Source organism: Homo sapiens, chromosome 1, assembly GCF_000001405.40.
Source record: "Homo sapiens chromosome 1, GRCh38.p14 Primary Assembly".
NCBI classification, from domain to species: domain Eukaryota; kingdom Metazoa; phylum Chordata; class Mammalia; order Primates; family Hominidae; genus Homo; species Homo sapiens.
The window spans coordinates 212,042,618-212,059,336 of NC_000001.11; the positions used below are offsets into that span (position 1 = coordinate 212,042,618).

Genomic DNA, 16,719 nt, shown 5'->3' on the forward strand with positions numbered 1-16,719 from the left:
AAGAATTTAATTGAAGGGGATAGCAGTTTTAATGGAATGCTTTTGTGGTTGTCTCTTTGGTAGGAGAAGGGGGAAGATCTTTCTTAATATGCAGAGGCCTCTTGTTTCTTCTAATCTCAATGTACTAGTGAGAGTCTCCATTTTAGATAGTAAGCCCAAAGCTATACCTCCCCAGAAGTTGGAAGTGCTCTTTCATTTTTTCCTTAGGACTCCTTAATGAAATAACAGAAATGGTGTCTTCCATAGATATTAATAGTAAGTGGATCTATGTTAATATCTAAAGTTTCTTAAGGACAAATATTTACCTCTGAATTTGTTAAAAATGCTGAAATGTGATGCTGTATTGGAATTCTATAAGGAATTATCTTGTTTTAGGATGGTCTTCACAATACCCTCTTCAATCCCTTCTGACTGGTTATCAGTGCAGTGGTAATGATGAACACACTTCTTATGGAGAAACAGGAGTCCCAGTTCCTCCTTTTGGATGTACCTTCTCTTCTGGTAAGAGAATTACTATCTAGGCAAGGCTTGGACAGAAATGATCTATTTCACACTTATAGGGAAAATATACTAGAGTATTTCCCTTTCAAAGAAAAGTAAATTAGGTGGATGTTAGAGTTTTTGTAAAAACTGTTATCTTCTGATTTATAAAATAGACTTTTCTTAATCTCTATACATCATTAGCATAACTATATTTCCTCTAAAGCATAGGACTATTATAGCACTATTTTTAAAAAATCAATATAAGGAAGGGGTTGCAAAGGTTCAGCTACTATGAAAACTGTTTTATCCAGTAGATACATACCCTTTGATCTGGTTGAATGTATCTTTCTGTGACTCATTGGGGAATATATGAACAGAAATAGAAGTACTTCAGCCAGGCTCAGTGGCTCACACCTAAAATCCCAGCACTTTAGGACGCCAAGGTAGGTCTGGGCACAGTGGCTCACACTTGTAATCCCCGAACTTTGGGAGGCCAAGGCGGGTGGATCACTTGAGGTCAGGAGTTCAAGGCAGCCTGGCCAACATGGTGAAATCCCATCTCTACTAAAATTGCAAAAAATCAGCTGGGCGTGGTGGCGCACCCCTGTAATCCCAGCTACTTGGGATGCTGAGACAAGAGACTCACTTGAACCTGAGAGGCAGAGGTTGCAGTGAGCCAAGATCGTGCCATTGCATTCTAGCCTGGGTGACAGTGAGACTTCATCTCCAAAAAAAAAAAAAAAAAAGAAATAGAAGTATTTGTCTCCACCCATAATAGTTTGAGAGGAAAGAAAAAGTTGTGACAAGGAAATTTAAAACTAATAGACTCCTTATAAAAATTAGCCGGGCATGGTGGTGCATGCCTGTAGTCCCAGCTACTGGGGAGGCTGATGCAAGAGAATCGCTTGAACCTGGGAGGCGGAAGTTGCAGTGAGCTGAGATCACGCCACTGCATTCCTGCCTAGGTGACATAGCGAGACTGTCTCTCAAAAACTAATAGACTATTACATAGTCATGATTGTGGTAAAAATAAGTAAATAAAAATATGGTTAAAAAAACTAATAGACTCAGCCTGCTGGCAGCCTACATCATCATATGCCTTTGTTTGCCATTGGCCAGTACCACTCTTGTTTTAAGTACTACCCTCGATTTAGCCCTTCTCTAAATAAGAGATTATCTGAAGAAAATTTTGGTGGTTTTGAGTAAGCTTAAAAATTTTTGTAGCTAGGCATGGTGGCTCACGCCTGTAATCCCAGCACTTTGGGAGGCTGAGGTGGGTGGATCACTTGAGGTCAGGAGTTCGAGAGCAGCCTGACCAGCATGGTGAAACCCCATCTCTAGTAAAAATACAAAATTAGCTGGGCGTGGTGGCGCATGCCTGTAATCCCACCTACTTGGGATGCTGAGGCAGGAGAATCACTTGAACCCAGGAGGTGGAGGTTGCAGTGAGCCAAACTGCACTATTGCACTCCAGTCTGGGTGACAGAGCAAGACTCCGTCTGAAAAAAAAAAAAAAAATTGTGTTACTCTATATATTTTTTTCTTTATTTCTGCTTTAGCTCCCAATATGGAACATGTACTAGCAGTTGCCAATGAAGAAGGCTTTGTTCGATTGTATAACACAGAATCACAAAGTTTCAGAAAGAAGTGCTTCAAAGGTAAGTCTAGGTCTACAATTTTTGTTTTAACATTTAAAAAACTTTACACATCCTCAAGTATATTATTATTTGAACACATTCTGTTTTAGTCTGTCTTCTGTTGCTATAAAGGAATAACTGAGACTGGGTAGTTTATATAGAAAAAGTTTACTTGGTGTGTGATTCTGCTGGCTAGAATAGTAGACATCTGGTGAAGGCCTCAGGCTGCCCCCACTCCTGGCAGAAGGCAAAGAGGAGCCCATGAATACAGAGGTCACATGGCAAGAGAAGGGTGTACTACCAAGCTCTTTTTTAACAATCAGCTCTCCAGGGAACTAATAGAGTGAGAACTCACTCATCTTTTCACCTCTTAGGGAGGGCGTTAATCTGTTCATGAGGGATCCACCCCCATGACCCAAATGCCTCCCATTAGGTCCCACTTCCAACTTTGGGGATTAAATTATAACATGAGATTTGGGAAGGGACAAACATCTGTAGTATATATAACACATTCCCAATGATATTAACTTCTGATTAAGTCTTTTTAGGGACCAGATTAGATGTGAATGGTGGACTGCCTATCTGTCAATAACTGTTAACTGTGACAATGCCTTTACTCAAAGTTAAGAAAAATACTTTTTAGGATTAAAAACAATTCTTCAAAAAGTTAAATCTTTAACACTTAATGTGATTAGAGAAGTGTTGCTTTAAAATACTTATATTAATCAAGCATTTTTCATGTTTAAAGCAAAGTTCTAACCTTAAGAAGCTGATAATTTGGAACCCATAAGTCAAGTGTTGAAATAACTGAAATAAAACAAAGACTATAAATGATGTAGAAGTAGAAAGAAAACACACTGGTGTCAAAGAGAAAGCTCTCATGTAGTAAAGAAGGCTAGGAAAACTTACGAAGCATGGGGCATTTGAGTTGGATTATGGTATTTAGACCAGTGGAAATGGAAGGGGGCACTCCAGGTGACGGGAAAAGCATTAGCAAAGGTCTAGAGATAGAAAAGCATAGGATATAATAGGAAGTGACCAATTTGTTTGGAATAAGGTATCGAGAACAGTGAGAGATGAGGCTTGCAACCAAGATAAAGACTAAAGAATGCAAAATGTTGAATGTCAAACTAAAGTATTTTACATTCCATTCAGAGAGCATCATGAAGTTCTTTTTGTTTTTGGTTTTGTTGTTGTTGTTGTTGTTGTTGTTGTATTTTTGGTAGAGATGGGGTTTCACCACATTAGCCAGGCTGGTTAACTCCTGGCCTCAAGTGATCTGCCTGTCTTGGCCTCCCAAAGTGCTGGGATTACAGGTGTTAGCCACTGTGCCCAGCCAGTATCATGAAGATTTTTGAACTGGAATATATTTCAGAAAGATTCCATTGTAGAGAATATATTACTAGTGAACTCATGGAAAGGAATTTGACATCAGATGGTAGTAGTTCTCATGTGGTAATTAAGGGAATGTGTAATTTCTGTGAGTCCACAAATTCTCTTTGCTCATGCCAAAGGGTGCTGACTACTGATTTTTTATGTGTGCATCTTTATTTTTATTATTTTAAGTTCCAGGGTACATGTGCAGGACATGCAGGTTTGTTACGTAGGTAAACATGTGCCGTGGTGGTTTGCTGCACATACCAACCCATCACCTAGGTATTAAGCCCAGCATGCATTAGCTATTTTTCCTGATGTTCTCCCTCTCCATGCTCCCCCTCAAGAGGCCCCAGTGTGTGTTGTTCCCCTCCCTGTGTCCATGTGTTCTCGTTGTTCAGCTCCCACTTATGAGTGAGAACATACGGTGTTTGGTTTTCTGTTTGTGCATTAGTTTGCTGAGGATAATGACTTCCAGCTCCATCCATGTCCCTGCAAAGGACATGATCTCATTCCTCTTATGGCTGCATTGTATTCCACAGTGTATATGTACCACATTTTCTTTATCCAATCTATCATTGATGGGCATTTGGGTTGATTCCATGTCTTTGCCATTGTGAATAATGCTGCAGTGAACATATGCATGCATGTATCTTTATAATAGAATGATTTATGTTCCTTTGGGTATATACCCAGTAATGGGATTGCTGGGTCAAATGGTATTTCTGGTTCTAGGTCTTTGAGGAAGCGCCACACTGTCTTCCACAACGGTTGAATTAATTTACATTCCCACCAACAGTGTAAAACTGTTGCTATCTCTCCGCAGCCTTGCCAGCATCTGTTGTTTCTTGACTTTTTAAATAATTGCCATTCTGACTGACGTGAAATGATATCTCATTGTGGTTTTGATTTGCATTTCTCTAATGATCAACTACTGATCTTTTTACTACTACAGCTTTCCAGGCATTTAAAGTTATATTAATATGGGTACCACAGAATACAATTTAGACATTTCACATTTACCATTTTCTTTGTTTAGAATGGATGGCTCACTGGAATGCCGTCTTTGACCTGGCCTGGGTTCCTGGTGAACTTAAACTTGTAAGTGACTTTATTTCATTAGGATCTGGGTAAATACTGATAAGGGAGTGCTTTATTAAATTGTGTTTACCTTATTTTTGAAAGGTTACAGCAGCAGGTGATCAAACAGCCAAATTTTGGGACGTAAAAGCTGGTGAGCTGATTGGAACATGCAAAGGTCATCAATGCAGCCTCAAGTCAGTTGCCTTTTCTAAGTTTGAGAAAGGTAGGTTTGTGCTTATCTTCTTTCATCTCCTTAACCTTCTTTGCAGTTGGGAGATAAGAACCTGTAATTGTTTCTACCCTTTCCCCTGTCAAAGTTACTGCTTTACCTACATAGATGATTAAGATTCTTTTTTTGGAGACAGTTTCGTTCTGTTGCCCAGGCTGGAGTGCAGTGGCGCCATCTCGGCTCACTGCTACCTCCGCTGCCTCCCAGGTTCAAGTGATTCTCCTGCGTCAGCCTCCGGAGTAGCTGGGACTACAGGCGCACATCACCATGCCCAGCTAATTTTTGTATTTTTAGTAGAGACGGGGTTTCACCATGTTGGCCAGGCTGGTCTAGAACTCCTGAGCTCAGGCAATCCACCTGCCTCAGCCTCCCAAAGTGCTAGGATCACAGGCGTGAGCCGCTGCACCCAGCCAGGTGATTAAGATTCTAACATGACTGAAAACCTTAATAAAATTAAATTGGTTTTAGGCCCACTCTTCTGGACATTATCTCTAGCTTGTCCCTGAAAGTCAAGAGTCTTTGATAAGTTTTTCTGTAATCTTGCACATAAGGTAAAGATTTATAAACAGCTACAATACCATTGTTCAACCTTGATTGTTCATTGAAGTTAAAACCTTGTACTGGGCACTCATTAACTATTTGTAAAACAGAGTTACTTTAACTCTGCTTGTAAAATCTAAATGAGCTATAAGGCTGATAAACAACATAATTTTTTTCTACCTAAAAATTTATCATGTATTTGGTTTAAATGGCCTGTTTTTTGTTTTTTGTTTGTTTGTTTGTTTTTTGAGACGGAGTCTCTGTCACCCAGGCTGGAGTGCAGAGGCTCGATCTCAGCTCACTGCAGCCTCCATCCCCCGGGTTCAAGCAATCCTCTCCCTCAGCGTCCCAAGTACCTGGGAGGGATTACAGGAGCCTGCCACCACGCCCAGCTAATTTTTGTGTTTTTAGTAGATCTGGGGTTTCACCATCTTGGCGAGGCTGATCTTGAACTCCTGACCTCGTGATCCACCTGCCTCGGCCTCCTAAAGTGCTGGGATTACAGGCATGAGCCACCACACCCGGCCAAATGGCCCAATTTTCTATTATGTTTTCAACTATTACTTAAAATTGATTTTCCTATGTTTATATTGTTATAATGGACAAGGAAGATTTAAGAGTTATATAACACAGCACAGTACTGTAGCAGCTAGGGAAAAACTTATCAGTGGTGTCTGAATAAGCTCTTCATTTCTGTTTTTGTTTGTTTGTTTTCTCCTTCCATTTGTTTCTCACTAAATAATTTTTTTTAAATGGACCAACAAACATTTCTCTCAAAGGAGTCTCTGAAGTAATCTGACTTTAATCTCTGAATAATAGTGACAGACATTACAATCTCCTTTATCACTAAAAAAAAAAAAAGTACTCTGTTTTAAAAATCAAATGTTTTCATTTATTCACCTGAGCCATTTAGGAGGTTAAGCTGGTTTGGACTGGTTTTTTGTTTGTTTGTTTGTTTGTTTGTTTGTTTGTTTTTTGAGACAAAGTCTCACTCTGTTGCCCAGGCTGGAATGCAGTGGCGTGATCTTGGCTCACTGCAACCTCCACCTCCCAGGTTCAAGCAATTCTCATGCCTCAACTTCCCAAGTAACTGGGATTACAGGCGTGTACCACCACGCCCAGCTAATTTTTGTATTTTTAGTAGAGACAGGGTTTCGCCATGTCGGCCAGGTTGGTCTCGAACTCCTAACCTCAAGTGATCTGCCCGCATTGGCTTCCCAAAGTGCTGAGATTACAGGCATGAGCCACCATGCCCAGCCTGGCTTGGACTTTTAAGAAAGTCGGTTTTAATTTACTGTGGTTGCAGTTGAAACTGGAACCTTGAAGGGGAAATATGGCATGATTTTTCTTATTTCTGCATAACTTTATTAACATATTTAAGTAGTTAGGTATGCTTGTGTTCTAGTTTTCTACACTCTTGTGTCATAGTTCACTCTGAGTTTGTAAACATAATTTTAAGATAATGAAAATTTACCTAACTAAAGAGTAGTGGAAAACATATCTTTTGGTCCTTTTGCTTAATTTTTACAACTCTGCATGTGAATCAGCCTGTGACAATGAGCTGTAGAAGAAAAGGCACTGAGTTAGAGATTGGGGCAGGTGGCTTTTTTCATGATTTTCAGTAGTTCATAGGTACTCTAGTGTAAATTAGTCTGATCGGATACTGCTCCCAAGCCCTGTGGTTTGTTTTGTTAAAACAGAATAGATAATAGCTCCACTCACTCCATCAGCCATAAGCCCTCTTGCAGGGCAAACCTTTGCAACTAAACATGGAAGCCCTCTGTTTTATTCTGGCCTCCTGGGCAAAGTGATTTTAACCTCCTTGGGCCTTCATTTTCTAATTTTATGAGATAAATACCTAGTCTATTTAGGTCACAAAAATATTGTAGACATAAAAGTGAGGTGAAATATGAATACTTTTTTTTTTTTAATCTGAGCTCATTATGGTGGCTCATCCCTATAATCCCAGCAACTTGGGAGGCTGAGAAGGATTGCTTGAGGCCAGGAGTTCACGACCAGCCTGGGTAACATAGTGAGACCCTATAAGAAAACAGAAAATTAGCTTGGTACAGTGGTATGCACCTATAGTCCGAGCTACTTGGGAGGCTGAGGTGGGAGGATCGCTTGAGCCCAGGAGTTTGCAGCTGTAGTGAGCTGTGATTGTGCCATCATACTCTAGCCTGGGCAATAGAGTGAGACCCAGTCTCAAAATAAATTAATTAAATCAATCGATCTATCTATAATCAATCAGAGGACCATATAAATACTTAGTGTTTTGTGGGGGTTTTTGTAGGTAGTATGGTAGAAAACATCTTTGGTCCAGTTCCTTCCACCCTACATAGGTAGGATACAAATAATCCTAACTGGACATAGTCACACTAATGGAATTTGCCTTCCCTAAGTATCTACCAACTAAAAGCAAAGAAAATGGACTCAGATAAGTGCTTTGTGTGGCAAAAGGGCAGGTATTAGAACTTCTAGTGGATAATTAAAATTGATTATAAATTTATTTCCTCTCCTACAAACTTACCTATATTTACACCTTCTTTCTCATTCTTCATTCTCAAGTTTTAATTAAATGAGAATCTCTTGCAAGTGGGCCAGGCATTTATTTTTTCAAAGTTCCTCAAGGGATTTCAATGTGTAGCTAAAATTGAGAAACATTCTTGATCCTTCCCAAGACCTTCCACCATCACATGTATCCCCACTACCCTGTATCTTCAAGTTCTCCCTCTCTATTGGCTGTTTCTCCTTAGGAGAAGATATTTGGCCTATTTTCCCAAATATCTTAACCCTGTGTTCTCTTTTAGTTGTTACTGTTTCATATTTTCCATCTCCTTTAATTTGGTTTAATCTATTTTCCACATCTAGCCCTCTTCCTGAAATCACTCTTGCTAAGGTTATTAATTATCTAATTATCAGAAAGCACGAAACTTTTCAGGTCTTTTCTTCTGCTTGTATAATATGTTACACTTTTGGTCTTTTATAGAATTTCAATAAAAGTCTTTGCTTAGAATCTGTGATATCCCACTCCCTCTGGTACTCCTTCTGTCCTTCTCTTTATTCTTTCATAGTTGCTTTTACCTAGGTTGAAGTGTTAGCAAGGCCCAGGATTTGGTGTTTAGCCTTTTTTTGCTTTCAACCTATACCTTCTTGGACAGTTTCATCTGTACCAGTTTTGTTTTGTTTTTCATCCTACTTGTGTTGACCCAGATCTATATTCCTAGCCTTAACCTTTCTGCAAGTACTTCAGATTCAACATATCAAAAAGTGAACCCACAATTCCTCCCTGAACTCATGATTTCTCCCTGGCAATGCCATCTTTTTCCTCTCCTCTGATATCATTTCCTTGAACAACGTATTTAACTTTTCTTATAGTGTGAGTCTGATGGTAATAATTTACCTTAGTTTTTCTTTACCTGAAAATGTCCTTATTTCATCATCATTCTCGAAGGACATTTTTGTTGGATATGAAATTCTTTTTTTTTTTTTTTTTTTTTTTTTTTTTTTTTTTTTTTTTTTTAGCCCAGAGGTCCTTTATTTTTTTTTTTTAACACCTATTATGCCATGAATTCATAGGGAATAGGTTCCAGCAGCTCAGGCTCCTTCCCATTGGTTCTCACAAAGTGTGCTTCTCTGGGTGGAGCAGGCTGGCGCTTTAGTTGAACCCAGGTACCTTTCTCTTTGGCTTCTTTCTTTTTCTGATCATTTTCCTTCACACGTTTCAGGAAGCTATCTCGGCTCTTAGAATGCTTAATGTGCTCAATACGCACATTAATTCTCTTGGCAAGAATCTTGCCCTTAACTTGTTTGTTTACAACAATGCCAACAGCATGCTGGGTAACATTGTAGACTCTTCCAGTTTTGCCATGGTAACACTTGTGGGGCATTCCTTTTTGAACAGTACCCGTTCCCTTGATGTCTACAATATCACCTTTCTTATAGATTCGCATATATGTGGCCAAAGGAACAACTCCATGTTTTCTAAAAGGCCTAGAGAACATATATCGGGTGCCTCTCCTCTTTCCCTTTGTGTTTGTCATTTTGGCGAATTACTGGAAGATGGCGGTTCCGGCCGAAAAGAAGCTGGATATGAAATTCTGGGTCAACAGCTTTTTTTTCCTTTCATTGCTAAAGTTGTTCCACTATCATCTCTGCTTTCATTGAGAACTCTGTGGTTGTTAAAATCATTTCCCTGTATATAATATGCTGTTTTTCCTGACTATTTTCAGGATTTTTTGTCTTTGGTTTCTAGCAGTTTGACTGTGGTATGTCTAGTCATGGTTCCCTTCACAGTTTTCCTGTTTGAGGCTTGTTTTAGCTTTTTGTATTTGTAAATTCCTTTTTACTGAATAGGAATTTTTCTATCATTTCTTGAAATACTTTTTCTGGGCCAGGTGTGGTGGCTCAGGCCTGTAATCCAAGCACTTTGAGAGGCTGAGGCAGGCAGATCACCTGAAGTCAGGAGTTCAAGACCAGCTAGGCCAACATGATGAAATCCCATCTTTACTAAAAATACAAAAATTAGCCAGGCGTTGTGGTGGGCACCTGTAATCCCAGCTACTCAGGAGGTTGAGGCAGGAGAATCGCTTGAACCTGGGAGGCGGAGGTTGCAGTTAGCTGAGATCGCACCACTGCACTCCACACTCCAGCCTGGGCAACAGAGCGAGACTCTGCCTCAAAAAAAAAAAAAAAAGAAATATTTTTTCTGCCTAATTTATTCATATTCTCTCTCCTCCCTGCTTCTTCTGTTACCTTAATTACCCATATATATATATTTTTTTTCAATTACTCATGTATTTGACTTTTCTAAATTATCCCATGCATCCTTGAGGTTTTGTTTTTTTTCAGTTATCCTAAACTTAAGATAAAATGAACAAGCCATAAAATTCATCCATTTAAAGTACACGGTTTAGTGGTTTTTAGTTTATTCACTAAGTCGTGCAGCTATCACCACAATCTAAATTTAGAATCTTTTCATCAGTCCAAAAAGAAACTTGAACGCATTAGCAGTACTTTCACCCATTCCTTCCAACCTTATACAACCACTATAGTAATTTCGGTCTCTATAGATTTGCCCATTATACACATGCATACAAATGGAATGATACAATATGTGGTCTTCTGTGACTGGCTTCTTTAATTTAGCCTAATGTTCAGTTCTATTTTTCTCTCTCTTCTTCAAATTGAATGATTTCTATTAATTTGTCCTAAAGTTCACTTTCTCTATTTTCTCCAGCCTGTTCTTAGGCCTATCCAGTGATTTTTTTTTTTAATTTCAGATACTGGTTTTCAGTTCTAAAATTTTCTTATGTTTTTTTTAAGACAGGGTCTGGCACTGTTGCCCAGATTAGAGGGCAGTAGCATGATCATAGGCACATGCCACCATGCCTGGCTAATTTCTTTTTGTATTTTTTGTAGAGATGGGGTTTCACCCATGGTTGGTCTTGAACTTCTGGGCCCAAGGGATCTGTCAACCCCAGCCTCCCAAAATGCTGGGATTACAGGCATGAGCCACAGTGGCTGACCTTCATTTGTTTGTTTGTTTGTTTGTTTCCTGCTGAGATTTATCATCTTTTTATTGATTACAAGTGTATATATTTTTTTCTTCCTTTTTTTGTTTTTTGTTGTTGTTGTTGTTTGAGACAGGGTCTCACTCTGTCACCCAGTTTGGAGTGCAGTGGCGAAATCTGCTCACTGCAACCTCTGCCTCCCGGGCTCAAGTGATCCTCCCACCTCAGCCTCCCAAGTAGCTGAGGCTATAGGTGCATGCCACCACACCCAGCTAATTTTTGTATTTTTTGTAGAGATGGGGTTTCGCCATGTTGCCCAGGCTAAGTGTACGTTTCTTTAACTCATTTAACATGGTTATGTATCCTTTACAACCTTATCTGATAAATCAATATCTGGATTATCTTGGGATTGGCTTCCATTGATTTATTTTCCCTTGAGAATTATTCGTTTTCCTGGCTCTTTGTAAGTCAAGTAATTTAAGATTATATTCAGGACATTGCGAGTGGTATGTTGGATTCTAGATTCTGTTATATTGCTTAGAAAAGAGTTGGTGTTCCTTTTTTAACAGGCAATTCACTTGTTTGGATCCAAATTGAAGACTGTCACACCTACAGGAGGGCAGTGGATCTTATCTCAATTATTTTCTTTAGTTTAAGCCTCAGCTGCAAACTGCTTTCAGTTTCTCTTGCCCATATGGTACAGGGGTCAGCCAGAGACTTGGACTGAGTTTAAACACGGAATCATGGGTTCCCTTTCTCTAGCTGTCTCCAGGTTTTCCCCATCCCCTCACTCTCTGACTGTTCTTGTTGCTCCCAGTCTCCTTTTCCTTGTTCTTCTGGCTTGAAAGATGGCAGATTTTTTAATTTGCATTTTAGCTGCCTGGTATTAATGCTGCAACTTTGGCTGTCCTCAAGGTAAAACCACACACACAAAAAAAAAAAAAACACCAAAAAACCCAGTAACTTAATCTCAGGCCAATCATTTGCTAAAGATGTTGACTCTCCTCCAAAAATTGCATGTTTAAGAGGAAAGTGGGCCAGGCACGGTGGCTCATGCCTGTAATCCCAGCACTTTGCAAGGCTGAGGTGGGCTGATCACCTGAGGTCAGGAGTTCGAGACCAGCCTGGCCAAGATGGTGAAACCCTGTCTCTACCAAAAATATAAAAAATTAGCCGGGTGTGGTGACACATGCCTGTAATCCCAGCTACTCGGGAGGCTGAGGCGGGAGAAGCGCTTGAACCTGGGAGACAGAGGTTGCAGTGAGCCAAAATCGTGCCACTGCACTCCAGCCTGGGTGACAACGAGACACCACCTCAAAAAAAAAAAAAAAAAAAAAGGAGGAAAGTGGTAACTTAAAGGGAGGAGTAAATTTTATCCCCAAACAACAGTTTCTATTTTAGGCGGAGTAAATTCCAACAAAAGGGGAAAAATGAACCCGAGTGACATTCTGTACAACCAAAGCTGTTAAAAGGAATGAATAGTGCCTGACACTTAAAAAGTGCTGAATTAGATGAATGGTTTCAACATGGCTGACTAGATGCATCTGGTACTCACCTCTTTCACAGAGTGGAACCAAAATAGTGAGATATTATAGTGACAGTGAGATCGTAGATAATCACCCTTCAAATAGATCATCTAAGAGAGAACACTGGGATTCAACAGAGAAGTGATAAGAAGCTCCGGAAGCAAGGAAGGAGAGAAAAGTAAAGCAGCCTGTTTGGCTGGGATCAGCTAGGAATCTGGAGAGGCTTCCTATGCAGGGACAGAGTAAGTGGGAGACCCCCAGCAGCCCAAATACCCACTGTGAACCCTAATAATAGCCATGGGAGACCCCTTGATGCTCACGGACCCTGAGACTAACATAGGGAGCTGCCTGGAGACTTCATGAAGGCATTGCTCCAGAGAGATATCATACTGGGTCCCACAAACCCTCAAGTCCTAAGCAGCTGTAACACTGATTTTCAGAGCCCAGCCCCCACCAGACTGTGTCCTGCCCTGCCACCCAGGCTGAATTGGGAGCCACACACAGCGACCTCATTCCCCTGAGTGGAGGGGCAGCTGCACATTTTCACACTCCCCAAGGACAAATTCCACTTCCTGCAACCACCACCACTCTGGGCTGCTGCAGGGCAGAGGTGTAAGCAAAACTCAGTCGTTTAACTGCCTGCCTATGGGTACTCCCAGGGAAAGCAACCCCACTCTGCATGTCAGTACTGCAGCATAGCTGCTGCTGCCCCTTACCTGAGCATTCCACTGGAAGCCTGGGGATCACCCCACCCCTGCCTTCCATAGCCAGCACCTGCATGCACCACCAGGGTCACTGAGGGCAGTTCCACCTAGCCTGGCTTCATACACGCCACTACCCAAGCACACCCTCTGGGAGGCCTGAGGATTGCCCAGTTCAGTTCATCACCAGTGGTGCCTGAGCACTCCTCCTAGAGTCTAAACTTGGGCCTACTCAATCTGCTGCTACCACCATAGCTGGCACCAACCTGTACATGCAACCTGCAAGTCTAGGGACTGGCCTGCCCAACCTGTCACAGCCACCGCCAACACTAGTACGGAACACTTGGGTTCCAGGGGATTTTTTCATCACTGCTACTGTCATCATCCACACCACTCCACACCTCCTGCCCAGGGGCTCAAGAATTTGCCCACCCACCTGGCCCACTGCTGCCATTTCCAATACCTGAGTAAGTCATCTGAAGGCCCAAGAATCTACCTGCCTGGATCCATTAACACCAGTGCCAGCGTATGCTGCCTTGGGGCCAAAGGACACACAGGCTCAGACCACTGCTGCCACCACTGGGGCCTGAAGACTGGCCCACCTGGTATTTCAATTTCTGGCAAAACTTAACCAGTCTGCACTAAAAACCACACTCTAATCTACCAACGAAACCAGATACCAATGACTCTATGGCCAAAAGAAATGATAGAGACTATGCTACTGCTTGCATCCAGAACCAAAGCCAAGTGTCCTCTCCAACCATCACCATAGATACATCTTCAGGAAAATGTTCTCCACTACAAACCAAATTCAAAAAATTGGAAAAAGCAACTGTTACACCAGGTGCACAAATATCAACATAAAAACACAGAGAAATCAAAAAGCAAGGATATGTGACACATCCAAAGGAACACAGTAATTCTTCAGCAACAAATCCCAATCAAAAAGGAATTCTCAAAATCCTGGAAAAATGATCCAACATACTGATACTAAGGAAGCTCAGTGAGAGAAAAGAGAATTCTGAAAGACAATACAAAGAAACAGAAAAATAATTGAGGAAATGAATGAGGAATCTACCAAAGAGATAGGTATCATAAAATAGAGCTAAATTCTGGAACTACAGAATTCATTTAATGAAATACAAAATACCTTTGAAAGCTTCAACAATAGACTAGATCAAGCAGAAGAATCCCAGAACTTGAAGATGTTTTGAAGATCTTTTAAAATAACCTACTCAGACAAAAATAGAGAAAAAATAATAAACATGAATGACTAAAGCTTTCATGGCATATGGGACACTATAAAGTGGCCAAATATATGAATTTTCAGTGTCCCAGAAGGCAAAGATAAAATGAAAGGGTTAGAAAGCCTATTTAACAAAATAATAGGTGAAAACTTCCCAAGTCTAGCAAGGGATTTATATATCCACATACAGGAGGCTCCAAGATCCCCACATGGATATAATTCAAAAAGGTTTTTTTTCCATGGCACATTGTAGTCAAACTCAAAAGTCAAAGACAAAGTGAAAATTCTAAAAGCAGAGAAAAAACATCTAGTCACCTATAAAAGAAACCCCATCAGACCTAACAGCAGATTTCTCAGCAGAAATCTTATAGTTCAGGAGAGAATGAGATGATATATTCAACATGCTTAAAGAAAAAAAAAAAAACCTGCCACCCAAGAATACTACACCCAGTAAAATTATCCTTCATAAATAAAAGAGAAATAAAGTCTTTCCCAAACAAGCAAAAGCTGAGGAAATTAATCACCAGTAGATGGGCCGTACAGAAAATACTAAAAGGAGTCTTATACCGGGAAGTGAAGAGCAATATTTACTGTCATGAAAACACAAGAAAATATAAAAACTACTGGTAAGCAAACACACAAACAAGAAAGAGGAAAGGCTGAAATGTTACCACTACCGAATACCATGAAACCATAATGATAAAAAGTACCAGAGAAAGGAAGGAACAAAGGATATACAGAACAACCAGAAGTCAATCAATAAAGTTAGGAATAAGCCTTCACATATCAATAACGTTGAATGTAAACATGTTAAACTTTCCATTTGAAAAGTACAGACTGGGCAAATAGACAAATGTGACCTAATTATATGCTGCCTACAAGAAACGCATCTCACCTGTGAAGACAAGTATAAACTGAAAATAAAGGAATGTAAAAAGATACTACATGCAAATGGAAACCAAAAGCAAGCAAGAATAGCTATACTTACATCAGATAAAACAGACTTTATGTCAAAAGCAGTAAGAAGAAACGAAGGTTATTCTATGATGATAAATCAGTTCAGCCAAAGGATATATCAATTGTAAACATGTATATACCTAACACTGGAGCACACAGATATATAAAGCCAATACTATTAGATCTAAAGGGAGAGACTCCAGTGCAATAACAGTTGAGGACTTCAGCCACCCCACTCAGCGTTAGACAGATATCTAGAAAGAAAATTGGATTTAAACTGCACATTAGACCAAATGGACCTAAGAGATATTTACAGAACATTTCATCCAACAGCTACAGAATACACATTCTTCTCATCAGCAAACAGAATATTCTCCAAGCTAGACCACATGTTAAGACACAAAACAAGTCTCAACACATTTTTAAAAGTTGAAATAATATCAGGAATCTTCTCAGACCACAATGGAATAAAACTAGAAATCAACAACAAAAGGAAGTTTGGAAACTACAAATACGTGGAAATTAGGCAGTATGATTATGAATGACTTGGGTAAAGGAAGAAATTAAGGAAATTTTTACAATTCTTGAAACAAATGAAAATTGAAACCCAACATACCAAAACCCATGGGATACAATAAAAGCAGTACTAAGAGGAAAGTTTATAGCAATACACACCTATACCAAAAAAGTAGAAAGACTTTAAAAGAATCTAACAATGTACCTCAAGGAACTAGAAAAGCAAGAACAAACCAAACCCCAAATTAATAGAGGGAAATAATAAATAGCAGAGCCTAACTAAATAGAGACTTAAAAAAACAAGAAAAAGGGTCAACAAAACAAAAGGTTGGTTTTTGGAAAAGATAAACAAAATCAATAAGGTACTTGCTAGACTAACCACGAAAAAAAAGAAAGATGGTCTTAAATAAAATCAGAAATGAAAAAGGAAACATTGCAACTGATAATACAGAAATACAAAAGATCATCAGAAACTATTGTGTACAACTATACACTAACTAGAAAACCTAGAGGAAATGGATAGATTACAGGACACATGCAACCTACCAAGACTGAATCAGAAAGAACTAGGAAACCTGATCAAATCAATAGTAACAAGATCAAAGCAATAATAAAAAGTCTTCCAACAAAGAAAAGTTCAGGACCAGATGGCTTCACTGCTGAATTCTACCAAACTTTTAAAGAACTAACACCAGTTCTCAAACTATTCCAAAAATTGAAAAGGATGGGAATTCTCCCTAACTCATTCTACAAGGCCAGCATTATTCTGATACCAAAACCAGACAAGCACAAGGACACACACAAAAAAACTACAGAACATACGGACATAGATGCAAAAATCCTCAACAGAATACTAGCAAACTGAATTCAACAGCACATTAAAAAAAAAAAATACACCATGATCAAGTGGGATT

At 39.7% G+C, this 16,719-nt stretch overlaps 1 protein-coding gene and 1 pseudogene across 5 annotated transcripts in view, besides 1 other annotated feature; one reads left to right on the top strand and one right to left on the bottom strand.

The window, feature by feature from the left end:
- The window catches only part of DTL (denticleless E3 ubiquitin protein ligase adapter), a 69,266-nt gene that overhangs the window by 6,870 nt on the left and 45,677 nt on the right, over window positions 1-16,719 (top strand). For 2 of the 4 annotated variants that reach the window (NM_016448.4, XM_011509614.2), the window contains exons 2-5: window positions 376-501; window positions 2,043-2,141; window positions 4,534-4,595; window positions 4,680-4,800. In NM_016448.4, coding sequence (NP_057532.4) covers window positions 376-501; window positions 2,043-2,141; window positions 4,534-4,595; window positions 4,680-4,800 — 408 coding nt within the window. The remainder of the gene's footprint in view (window positions 1-375; window positions 502-2,042; window positions 2,142-4,533; window positions 4,596-4,679; window positions 4,801-16,719) is intronic. The other 2 variants (NM_001286230.2, NM_001286229.2) reach the window with 1 other exon arrangement.
- Window positions 8,869-9,434, bottom strand: RPL21P28 (ribosomal protein L21 pseudogene 28; annotated as a pseudogene). The gene has a single exon (NR_026911.1). The product of NR_026911.1 is annotated as a ribosomal protein L21 pseudogene 28 (transcript).
- Window positions 15,316-15,516: a silencer, noted in NCBI's record as "peak685 fragment used in MPRA reporter construct". NCBI's record gives its function as "represses an SCP1 promoter by STARR-seq MPRAs in K562 erythroleukemia cells {active_cell/tissue: K562}" and the evidence as "EXISTENCE:reporter gene assay evidence [ECO:0000049][PMID:32103011]".